The sequence below is a fragment of the Homo sapiens genome, chromosome 3 (assembly GCF_000001405.40).
Source record: "Homo sapiens chromosome 3, GRCh38.p14 Primary Assembly".
In the NCBI taxonomy this organism is placed as follows: Eukaryota; Metazoa; Chordata; class Mammalia; order Primates; family Hominidae; genus Homo; species Homo sapiens.
This window is the reverse complement of record NC_000003.12, coordinates 69,546,081-69,559,561: the sequence shown is the minus strand read 5'-3', so window position 1 is coordinate 69,559,561 and position 13,481 is coordinate 69,546,081.

The following is a 13,481-nucleotide window of genomic DNA, read 5'->3' as shown; positions in this document are numbered from 1 at the left end:
ATCAAGGTGCTGGCAAATTCAGTGCCTGGTGAGGGCTTGCTTCCTGGTTCATAGATGGTACCTCCTAGTTGTGTCCTCACATGGTGAGAAGGAGTGGCTAGTTCTCTGGGGTCTCTTTTATATGGGCATTAATCCCAATCATAAGGGCTCTACCCTCATGATCTAATTACCTCCCAAAGGCCCTGTCTCCAATACCATCACCTTGGTGGTTAGGATTTTGACATATTTGAGGAGACAAAAACATTCAGACCATAGCAGTTAGTAATAAATTCTTGTTTTGCAGCCAAACATCAATCTTCATCTTCTTAGCCTGGTATAATCTAAGCCTAATGCCCTGAAATGCATGGGAAGATGTCAGTGCTTAGCTTTATGCTTCTGTAGTGGCTTCGATGGTACATTCCTTCCAGGCTTGCTTCATTTTGTTGGGCCATTGGCTGGACTCCAAAGAGAAAGAAGAACCATTGTCCCTACAGCCTGTTGGTGTTTGACAATTGCCTAATGCTTGGCAGCCTTCTCTGTAACAAAAATATAAATCGCACTGTGAGGACATTAGGAAATCCTGCCCCAGGAGGAAATCTCTGTGGATGATGTCAGAACAATTAGATATTAAATGTTGCAGACTTCAAGATTATTAACAAGCTCAGGAAAACTAATTAAGAAGGGTGAGTAGATGCTATCTGACTTGGACAGAGGTATAGCTTGACAATGAAAAAATATATATATATGTGAATATATATATATAAGTGAATATATATATATATATATATATATATATATATATAATTTTTTTGAGACGAAATCGCCCAGGCTGGAGTGCAATGGCGTGATCTCAGCTCACTGCAACCTCTGCCTCCCAGGTTCAAGCAATTTTCCTGCCTCAGCCTCCTGAGTAGCTGGGACCACAGGAGCCTGCCACCACGCCTGGTTAATTTTTGTATTTTTAGTAGAGATGGGATTTCACCATGTTGGCCGCGCTTGTTTTGAACTCCTGACCTCAGGTGGTCCACCTGCCTCGGCCTCCCAAAGTGTTGGGATTATATGCGTGAGCCACTATGTCCAGCCACCAGTGAATGTTCTTTACTCAGAAATTTGCGGAGTTAACTGGGAGATTCCAACTGTTCTAATGGCTGAGGGCTGGAATTGACAACAATACACACAGAAAAGAAACTCAGAGCTCTTCTTCTGGGGATACCTCTATCATAGCTCTCATTTTGTACTTTAATCATTTATTTAGATCTCTGTTTTTTCAATCTGTCTGAAGACTCCGGTAGCAGGACTGTACCTCATCATGTGTTCATTGCCTGGCACACTGTTTTTAGTAAGGACTTCTTATAATTATTAAACTAGTAATGAATCCTCACCACCACTGGTAAGGGGATAAATCTCAATATTCCCACTAAAGAACATAAGCTTTTAAGTCAGATGAATTGAGTTTGAATCTTGACTCTGTCACTTAATAGCCATGGGACCTTAGACTGGTTATTATATGTGGGCCTGTGTCTCCTGATCTGTAAAATGGGAATAATTGTAGTGCCTGGAACTGTAGAATTGCTGGAAAGATTAAAGAAGCTAATATTTATGAGTGTTAAATACTAATCTGTTTAGCTCAGTGCTTGACACATAGAAGGCACTCAATAAATAATAGCTATTATGACTATACTTATTTCAATAATTATCAATAAATTTCATCTTCTAAGAAATCTGCTTTTACAGTCAGAAAAGAGGAAAAAACCCCACATGTATTCAAAATTTCCCTTTAAGATTCATTACCTTCCCTTAAATCAACAGAGCTCAGACTCCTGGAAGACCAAAAACCAAGGATTAATTTCTTTGTTTCTTTTTACAATTTGGCTGTGGGTTTTCTTGTCCTGAAGCAGTGGAGGCCAGAGTCTAGTTTGAAAGGTGGAAAGGAGAAGGAATAAATTAAAGGGTATTTCTCTTTTGGCCAAGGTCACGTAGTTGAGTTTGAGTACATTCAGCACACATGTGATGTGATTCCATTTTATTTCAATTCTTGTTTCTCTGAATGCCAACTTTGAAGCAAGTTGTGGTCCCCATACCTAGAGCAGAGATGACCTATCATTATTTCAGAGAGAAATATCTGATAGAGAAGGTTGATAAACCAAGGTAGGTAGCAAGCTAGATTGCTACTTATCAGTCACTTGGGGGTTTTTGTTTCTTTGTTTTTCTTTACCATTCCTGAGAACTTCAAACGTAAGTTTTCCAGTTTTGTGAAATAAACATGATTGACTGTCCTTGTCTTGAGCTTAGCTGTGAAACCTCCACCAACCTGACCATCCTTCTCAAGAATGTCAACATAAACAGATTTAATCATCTCCACCATTCAAATACACAGCTAAAATGTCTCCTGGCACCTGTGTCAGCTCTAACTATGACTGTAAGAAACAAAGGATGGTCTCAACTACAGGGAACTGGCTACTCCAGTCCACCAGCCCATGGGAATTCTAGGAATTGAAAGAACAGGTGGTGGGAGAGAGGGGGAATAGCAGTAAGACCGACACAAATTTAGCCTTTAGAGACCAAGAGCCTTGCAAACTGGTGGTCCATAAATCAAATCTGGCCCATAGATATATTTTGTTTGGTTCACATAGTGTTAAAAAAATTTTTTTGAATTGGCTGTCAACATTTCAAAATCCAGAGAAATCTTTTAAAAATTGGAGTTTCTGGCTCCCCTGGAAAAATCAGAACTGTTGGCAATAGTGGGCCTGCATTCCCACATGGTTCCCAGCTGGCTTCAGCTGAGTAGCAGTTGCACCCATTAGGTCAGGCACACTTCTCCAGTTTGCCACAGTTCCCACCAGTCCCTATTGTTCCTCTTTGTTACATTTATGTTATGTATGCAACTCTACTGCTACATGTACATGTTGTTGTTATGTATGTAACATGATTGTTACACTTATGACTTTTCTTATAATTCAGATAAAAATAAAATATTCACTGAAACCATGTCTATCCAAAGCAGGGAATGGAAAAGTCATACATAATTGTATGGATTAAATGACTACATAAATTAAAACTTAAAAACATATCCATCTCCCTTCATTCACATAATATTCAGCTGATACATGGAGCCTGCTCATTTTAAATATAGTGAAACACAGTTGGCCCTCCATATCTGTGGGTTCCACATGAACGAATTCAATCAACCAAGGATCAAAAATATTTGGGGAAGAAAATGGATGTTGTGTCCCTAATGAACATGCACAGACTTTTCTCCTTGTTATTATTCTCCCTAAACAACACAGTATTCAACTATTTGCATAGCATTTACATTGTATTAATTATTACAAGTAATCTAAAGATAATTTTAAATACTGTATATGGAAGGATGTGCATACATTATATGCAAATACTATACCATTTTATATCGGAGACTTGAGCATCTGTGGATTTTGGTATCCTCAGGGAGTCATGGAATCCTCCACGGATACTGAAGGATGACTGTACTTCTATACTAGTTGGTAAAAAGCCATTGTTCCTAACTCCTCTGTGTCTCCTGCTGCTCACAGCCACTCCATCCCCTTCCTTGGGACTCAGTGACTGAGAGTTACTGGCCAGCCATAGCAGAGAGTCCTTAGGACCTGGCTCCTGTGCTAGGTGCCCATAAACACCATTCATTTGGTAAGTTGAGAGTGGCAGGTTAGGTGGAATCTATTTGTCTTCTTATTTCTGCCTAAGACCTCTCACCTCTGGCAATATTCCACACTAATAATACTGAAACCCATGGTGCCAGCTAGTCCCAGCCCTTCAAGCTAACAGCTCTCAAAGAGCTTACTGGTCTTCATTGGTACACATGCTGGGACAAGTTCCAAAAAATGGTGCCCCCAGAAAATACTGCAATGATGTCTCTGGCTCCAGAGAGGAAAGAGCCTATGAGCATTTGCTTAAGGGCTCACAATTTGAACAACACTACAATTTTGCTTCTTATTCTTCCACTATCTTTAGTTCCCAAAGTGTCATCCAGGATGTTGTCCACCTTGGTCCATAGGAAGGAGTAGGAGAATCTTCATTGCCCTGCTACCTCTAGATATTTGTACTGGGCTAACTCTGGCTTATCTTTTGATTCTCAAACTTACTGTTGCCTCCTCCAGAATCATATCTCCCAGGCTGAGTAGGTGTCCCTCCTGTAGCAGGCTTCACTCCTGGCTCCAGCACTAGATTGCCATAGCTCGTTTGCTGTTCACACTTTGTGTGCACCATATATCTCCAGCTCATTGCACAGTTCATGGCGCACGGTGGAAATTCAACAAGTATTTGTTGAAGGAATGATCGACTGAATGAATGAATGTTTTACAGTCCACAAACTGCGTGCCCTGCCACATTTCAAGACTATGAAGCAGTAGAAACTGCAGATCCCCCTCAGATCCCTTTGACCACCAGTGTCCCTTGCTCTGCTGCTGATTCCTCCCCTGTGGGACCCTCTTCAGAGGATGGATTGAGCTCCTTCTCTGGATGGAAAGCCAAAAGTGCCTGAGAGTATCCTCCCATCACCCAGGGAAGCCGCTGACAGACTGGTGTGAAAGTATAAAAACCCAGCTCCTTTGCCTCCAGGTGAGTAAACTGAGGTGTAGTCTATGCTCCAGAGCTCCCCTGAAGGTCAGGCTGCTGCTGGGGGTTGACTCGAGGTGACATCCTTGCCTGACCTTGTTCCCCTTCCTGTCCTACTTACCCCATTCCCTCAGCAGTTTTTCATGGGAGAACCCAATTCTCCACTCAGAGTGTGCTTCTGGGAAAATCCAATCTAAAAAAAACTGACCTGTGTGCATTTATTGAACACATCCAGTAGGCAGAACATTATTAGGTAACCCCACAAGGTAGGCGCCTTGGGCTTCCTTCCCTTTGGCCCACACATTTAGGGACAGCACAGCTCTAAGAAGGTTGGGCCCTCAATGATACCTCTGAGACAGCACTTACTTATTTTGGCATTTTTATATAGAATAAAAACTTCCCACACCAATGTGTCACTCTTTTTTAAAAATAAAATGCTACAGAAAATCAATAGCCTTTTCTCTGAAGTCCCACAGAGGGTGCAAGCCCCGGATTTCCTTGGATAACTCTTCCGGTGGAACCTTCGCTAGCTAGAATTATATGGTTTTCCCAGGTCCCAAAATAGAAGAGTTAATTTGAAAGGTCAATAATGGAGTCTTGATGCTGGGAGGCTTAATTGAGGGAATCATTGATTTTCCCATTAATATTTTAACTTGCCTGAAAGATAAGAAAGTAAAGGCTAATTTTGTTCTAAAAATACTCTACTGAAAACTGTCTGTCAAGCACAAACACATCTGATTCCGTTAATGCTAGTGATAAAAATCATAGATCAGGGATTCTCAACCTTGGCATTTTTGAGATATTTGGCCAGATATTTTTTTTGTTTCGGATGTCTGCCCTATGCAGTGTACGATGTTTAGTAGCATCTCTGGCCTCCACTCACTAAATGTCAGTAGCACATGCACCACCCAGTCACTTGTGACAAGAAAAAAATATCTCTAGGCTTTGTCAAATGTCTTGTGGGGACAAACTTGTCCCTGGGTGAGAACCACTGATAAGAAATGGAATATCCCCGGGAAATTACAGCCAGAGGTTTGAGGTCCAGGGGTGGGAGAGTGAGTGTCAAAAGAAAACTCTTATTTCTGTTCCTTTAAGTGTAGTTATAAAGGATAAAAGATGTCATCTGGATTCTAGAGGTTATAAATAGAACCTTCTCTAGCAATTGGCACTAAAGTGAATAGTTGAAATCTACTTCAAGACTAGTACTGTGCATTTTTACAGGATGTCCTTCCTTTCAGAAGAGGGTCACATAGTAAAGATGACTGTTTAAAAGTGTATGTCATGATTTATTCTGAATGATTAAAAAATTATCTGGGAACTCAGTAGATCAAATCTTAACTACTGATTAAACAGATTTCTCCCTAGAATGTTGAGGTCAGCTTTTCTTTACTAGCTTGAAAAAAAATAAAAGCAGGTCACAAACATCTGTTTTAAGTCCTTGGAAACTTGAAAAGATTAAAATCAAAAATAAAAAGAAAATAAACAAAGTTTCTTTTACCATCTGTTTCCTTACGGTCTCTCACTTCACGTTATTGCATTTGTGAAGAAGGACAGAAATTTTAAGCCTTTTGAATCCCTAAAGGAAGCCAGTAAGGAGGTCTTTGTGGATAACTCTAAAGGCAGTGAGAATTCAACTAAATCTTTTTTTTCTTTAAATCCAATTCAAAACATGTATTACAATCTCTTGGTGATGTACATGTTTCAGTGAAGTACAAGAGCTGCCAGTCTATGCTACATCAGGCCTCCAGCAACTTAAGACAGAATCCTTTCATTAAAAGCATAGAATCAAGCAATGAATCCTTGGATATTTTGAATTCATATTGAAAATTTAGGAAGCAATCTTAAGGACACATGAATATTACTTACTTTGTTTTGATCCATTTAGTGGTATAACACATAAACAAGACCATCCTCTTTAGACCCATCAAATATTAGTTTAAGGGGAAGAAGATTTTGCCTCTCATTACCGGTATCAAAGAGCTGCCATTTTCTAATAAAGCTTTCTTATGACCAGTGCACAAATGTTTCTTCATCCTAGGTGGATATGAACATTCGATCTCCTTCCTTATTGAACTTTATTCTTCTCTCAGATGGAGGGGATGCCTCGTTGCTGTTTTTATATATATTTTGTCTCAGGTGTTTATAGAGTCAATTTACTTTCTCCTCCGCCATTACCCAAAGCCATAGGTCCTACTTATAAGGCCACAGCAAAATTCTTTCATGTGTTCCTATGGTTGAGCATTTTGTATATTAATACTTGAATATTCTCCAGTACTTCACTCTTTGCATTTTGGGGTTTGCTTCTTGGATTTCGTTATGCATGGTTAAATTGTTAAATATCCACTGTGCTTTGTTCCTACCAAACAGAACTAATATTTGGACTATTTCTAATGTAAGTCATTATTAACTCCATCTAGAAACTGGCAAAGCCAACAGCTAAGTGAGCTGCCTGGTGGTCCTAATAGTTGAGTGGCTGGATAAAGTTTCATGGATTTTAAATCCCAAGTTCTAGTCATTATTTTATAGTCTAGTAGGGGAGACAGACATTAAGCAAAGAATTACACAAATGAATATAAAATTGCCAATCTGTTTAGGGTAGGGTTTCTCAACTTCAGGAGTACTGACACGTGGGGCTGGATAATTCCTTGTTGTTGAGAGGCCCTTGTGTGCATGATCGTATGTATGACAGTATTTCTGGCCTCTACCCACTGGGTGACAGTAGTAACCACTGCACTCCTCCTCCCCAGTTGTGTCCACCAACATTTCTCCAGATATTGTCAAATGTTCCCTGGGGGACAAAGTCAGCCCTGAATGAGAACCAAGAAAGTGTCAAGAGGAGAAAGAGATTTATGCTATTATCCAGAGTGTATTGGGCGATTTAACAGGCCTTGGATCACCAGGAAAGATTTTCCTGAGGCCATGCTATCTGAACTGAGGTCCCAGTGATTAATAGGAGTTAGCTAAGCAAAGAGGGAAGGGGCAGCATTTAATTCCAAGAAGTACTTAGTGAATCTCTACTGGGTGTCAATTCTGTTCAGGTGCTGATGATACAGCAATGAACGATAGTCAAAAAAGCCCCTGATGTGTATGGAGCTTATTTTATGGTAAGGGAAGGCAGTCAATAAAAACCTAAACAATTAAGGTAGACAATGTGGACGGTTAGTTTCTTCAGGGTGGGCAGGGCAATACTCTCTGAAGAAGTGAACTTTGTGCTGGTCCCTAAATGAAAAGAAAGAGTCAGCCAAGCAAAGACCTGAGGGAAATGGCTTTCAGGCAGGGATAGCATGGCAGCATATACAATAAGTTACCACAGGGGAGAGTTTGAGAATGTTCAGTGCCAAATCTCCTTTCTGTCCGTTTGGAATCCTGATAAGATTAAGAACTAAAAGCCAGAGCTATTAAGCAGTTGCTTTAATGATTCCTGTTTCTGGTATTTATTTAGGCACAAATGAACTTGTGCCCATATCATCACTGACACAGCAGAAATCAAAGATATATTGTTAGTGGAACTGGCATTACTGTATTTTTCAGGACAATTCACCCAAGATCACATTGATTGAGTTGTCTAGAGAAGCTTTCGTTGGCCGTATGTGTTCTGTGGCTAAGAGAAAGAACTCTTAAAAAATGTCATTGATTATAAATCTGGCCCCATTTCTTGAAGACCAACTTTGCAAGAGAGATAAACAGCCAGCAATTCCTGTTAATAGAGTCTACAAGATTGCTTTATAATGAGGAAATCAATTGGCAAGATCATTTAAAAAGAAGCAATGTGGCAAATGTATCCAGAAGCTATGTTTTCTAATAAAAAGGTTGCTTTGGATGACATGGTATACTTAGCAGAGCACTTTTCTGTGTTTATTTTTCCCAAAATAGCAGCAGCTTCCAAATATTAGTCCCTCACACCCTTTCTGATAATTCACCAAGGACTCAGACGTCAAGGATACTGTAGAATTTTAGAGCTAGATGTATCCAACCATCCTGTTGTACAGAGATTGAATAACTTGACCAAGGTCATAAAATAATTTGTGGCATTGCCAAGACAAGAACATCCTTCTGTGAGTACTCCAATCAGTGTTTCCTCCCCTGCATGAACTTATGCCTCTGTTTTGCACAGACTGCTCATTCAAGGAAGCATTTTACAGACTGAAACCCATACTTCTCTTTGGCATTGCTCATCATATTAAGCTAGTGGTTCTGAGCCGGGTAGATTTGCCTCCTGGGAAACATTTGAGAGAGCTTGGAGATATTTTTGGTTGTCACGACTTGTGAGTAGAGGCTACTGCATCTAGTAGGCAGAGGCCAGGGGTGCTGTGAAACATCCCATCATGCATAGGACAGCCCCAACAGCAAAAATCGTTATCCAGGAAAAGTGTCAATAGAGCCACCCTTTTGAGAAACTCTACATTGGCTTTGACATTACCTTTCTCACCAGACTTTTGTGTTAGTGAAACACAGGGCTTTTCTTGACTTGTTCGTGTCCCTGCTACTGGCACTTGTCCCATGTACTGATATTCAGTGCATTTTCATTGCTTAACTGTTGAATTTAATTTAATTGTAAGCCAAAATAAAAGATGGCAATTCATTCAAAAATCGTGGAAAAAAAGCAGAACTGCAGAAGTAATCACTATGATTATTTCCCATGGTGAGTGGAAGACATTTAAAAATAGTTATTCTTTATTTTGGGGGTTGGCACAGATAGATTTTAATCTCATAAGAGCTATCAACCCTCTTTTCAGAAAATTATCATTCATAACAAATTTTCCATACAATGGGGCCAATGAACTGCCTGACATACTAGAGGGCCAGGAGTCCTGGGTCTAGAAGAAAGTATAGAATATCTTTCTCCTTACACTTTGGATAGTGTAATAAACTACTGGCTTAATACTGATTGTCAACCTTTTCTGGAAAATTAGTTCCTACTTTAAATATTTTAAAATCAAATGACTCATATATTGAAAATGGCCTAGCAGCCATCTACTGACATGAACAAATAAAATATAAAATATCATAAAGTGGCTAAAAGGAATGAACTAGGTCCATATTCATCAACTTGGATAGATTTTTAATTTTTATTTATTTATTTACTTATTTTTTTACTTGATCTGATTTAGGTCAGATGGATAGATTTTTGATAGGCTGTTATTAGATGAAACACACAGGCTCTGGTACGTTATATATAGTATGATACCATGTATGTACATTTAAAAATGTAAATAACAAAACTATATCATATTCATGGGTATGTATATCCATGCAAAAATTTGGAAGGATTGATACAAACTTCATGATAATGGTTACTTCTGGGGAGTTGGAAATAAGAATAAAGTTGGTAATAAGGAACAAAGGGAACTTCAGCTTTTCTGTAAAGTTTTTTATTTTGTCCGATGAAAAACAAAGGACAATGGACAATCCTGAATAGTAGCTGTAGGGAAGTTTGTTATCATCTATTCTGAACTATTCTGTTTTTAAATTTTTCTGAAAAAGAAAAAATAAAAACAATCTCAGACATATAATGGAAGTTTTCAGTTACCGAAACTCTTAGAAAAATTATCTCCACTTCTTTGCTGAAGTGTGCTCAGGTTCTTACAAGATTACTGTGTGTATTTTGTTTGCTTTGGCAAAATAAGCAAACTGCCCTGAAACATTTTAAATGCATGGCTTAGTTTTTACAGTCACTGGTTCACAAGTGTATTTTTCTTTTTCTCCCCACTTAGTTCTTATTCATGGTAGAGTAGTCAACCTGGTTCTTCTTAAATATTTTACTTTTTCTCCACATTTGGCCAGATTTAGTAACCAGTTGAAGGGAGAAGAAGTATAGGGAAGTAGAGATGAATAAAGTTTTCTTAGTAGATGAATGGAAGTAGAATTATGTTGGCCTTATAAATGTTAGAAGCAATTTAGACTATGTGATCATGTGGCTGAAAAACCACTTATTGTAAATTGTGTGCTCCAAAGCCAATGAATATTGTTATTTTTTAACAATGTACAATGTTTGAAATCATGTAATTAGGAACATCATTTAAATCTTAGCAAGCAAATAGAAGCAGATGTTTGTATTGGAAAAGCCCTAGGATAGAAGCCAAGTAGACAAGGTTCTACCTCCTGTACTATTACTTTTTACTCTTAGGCAAATCACATTCACTCTCTGGGCCTCAGTTTCCTGATCTGCGCAATGAAGAGGTTGGAATCTATCAGCAGCCACAAACTGGAGGCTCTTAAGTCATATGGGGCCAGTAGATATGGTTTTGCTTGTATTTATTTAAAAATGGCTTGTTCGTATGTATTTAAAAATGGCTTCAAATTAGCCGTCAACATTTTATAATCAAGAGATATTCATAAAAATCCACATTTCTGGCCTCTCTTGAAAAGCAATTCTGGCAACACTGTTGTCTCAACAATAGATTGTTACTGAGTGGGGGTGGGGGCACCTGTAGACAGGGCACGTGCTCTCCAATTGCCGTAGTCGCCACTATTCCCTATTGACATACATCTGACCCTCTGCACATGAGTTGTTGCCTGACCTAAGCATTTGAACTTGTAACCCTCAGACCAAAAGTTTTCTAAATTCCTTCAAGTTGTATAATTTCTTGATACTAAGAGAAAAAGGTGTTAGAGAAAGTCAACAGAATACCTAAACTGAAACAGGCATAAGAAAACTGTGTGAAGGCCACAATCAAACTGGAAGAGCTCTTCTATTCACGTCTGGAGTTGCCAGGAAAACCCTGATGAGTTCATGGGACTTTTGTTTCCCTGTTTTATTCATTTTTAAAGAAAATAATGCATTTTTGATGAAATAATCCTAGAATTATGAAAAGGGGGTCTAATTTTTAAAGGGACTTATGTTTATAGAAAATTGGCACTTTTTCTATAAATTTCTAAAAATTAAAATCTATTTTTAGAAATAATGGAATAACATCAAATGGTGTAGGTTGCATTTGGAATCTTCCCTCTAAATACACTCAGGCACACCCACACACAAATCCAGATGTTTATGTGGAAATCTCCAATTTTTAATCACTAGCAACTTAGAAAACACTATACAAACCAAAACCCATGGCAGTTTGCAACCTCTCCAGTGAAAAGGAGTCTTTCCCAATATAATTACCAAATTATTTACTCTAATCAGTTTGGGATCCTTGTGATTAGGTAACATGGCTACAAAAAAAAAAAAAAGAGCATTTGTTTTAGTTCCTGTGGAGTGTCCTTGCTTTTTGGAAGGAAATTTGATAGTCTCTGAATACTCTGATTTAAGATTCCACTGAACTGCCAGCCCTCAGGCTATCCACGATGGAGCTGGACTGTGGCACCGGCCTCTCGCCAAGGCATTTTAGCTGGCTAAGTGCCAAAAGAACATTATTAAAAAGCATTTTCACATATAAGAAGTGCTTAGTGGTGTGCCCTCGAAAGACAGTTATGTATGCATGATCACAAGGTTCTCATTCAATTATATTACTTCCATAATCGGGAAGCAAGTGCAACCACAGTTAGCCTCATGACACACGTTCATAGTCACAGCTAAATCAGCAACAGCTTCATGTTAGGTTGAACCCCATGAAGTTGCCAATATTTGACCTTTAATCCACAGAAACACAATTTCCTGTGATTTAACCAATGATCTTTCTGTCTATGTTTAAACATAATTATTCAAGTTTTCTTATTTTGTTTTAATTTCAGGGTATCATAATTAGTACACTTTGAAAAAGCCTTATTTTATGTTTATTTACATATTCAAAGATTGGAGATAATGACCTAATAATTTTGTGCTACATTTGAGCATAAAACACATCAGCCTTGGTTAGGTTAGTGAAAAAAAAGCTTTAATTTCATCTCAAGGCCCTGGGCTTAAATAGAAAGATGAGGCATCAGTGATGATGAACATCCCATGGAGGTATGAAATAATGGGCCTCCTTTTTGTTGATTACAGTGTGTTGTGTCGTCAAGGTGCAGAGTATATCTAGGGCTCACACAGAAATATATGCTGCAATGGTACGCTTTAAGAAGTAGCAAAATATCTTGAAGTATATCAATGGATGGCTGTTCTTAGTTATCTAAAGAGTGCTTTAGAAAGAAAACACAACAATTGACCCTGAGTAGCAACAAGTATGGTTTTTTTTACATGTTCAATATTATTGTGATTCAATTTTTTTTAGTCTGTTGAAAATCCAGAAATCACTGAGATCTACCCAAGTCATTATATTCACAACAAAAGTACCATGTGTCTCCTGGCATGGCGGGCTAGACCTTCATTCCCGCTGGGTCAAAGAGACCTGGGATCAAATTGTAGCTACTGACTTGCTAGTTATAGGACCATGAGCAAGTCATTTCACCTGTCTGGGTTAATTTTCTCATGTGTAGAATGGAGTGAAAAAGGGTGATTACTTCACAGGGTCACTAATAAAATGAGACCACATGTGCAAAACACTTAATGAACATGAGCACGGGTTCTTGTTACAAATTAATGAACGTCTGCCCACTCACAAGCCTTTAGCTATAAAATATGCAAGCGGTATATATGCTCTTATCCCATATTTGAATAACCAGCAGGAAATCTTTGAAAGGCAGAAACACTCTGAAGAAAATGATAGTGCTGTAGGAATGATATGACCTCCTTTTAACCTTGGTTTTAAAATTGTACATAAAAGAAAAATAAAAATCAAAGATAACTAATTGGCTTGGGTGAATAAATTATGGCATATCAATATAATAGATGACTTGTATGTTTTGTGTTTGCATGTACATTTTTAAAAGTCTGGACTATGTATGTCAAAGATGCTTATTCAGAGTAGTGAACTTGCAAATAATTTTTCATTTCTACTTTATGTATTTCTTATATTGTCAAAAACTTCTCGGCTGGGTGCAGTGGCTCATGCCTGTAATCCCAGCACTTTAGGAGGACAAGGTGGGAGGATCAC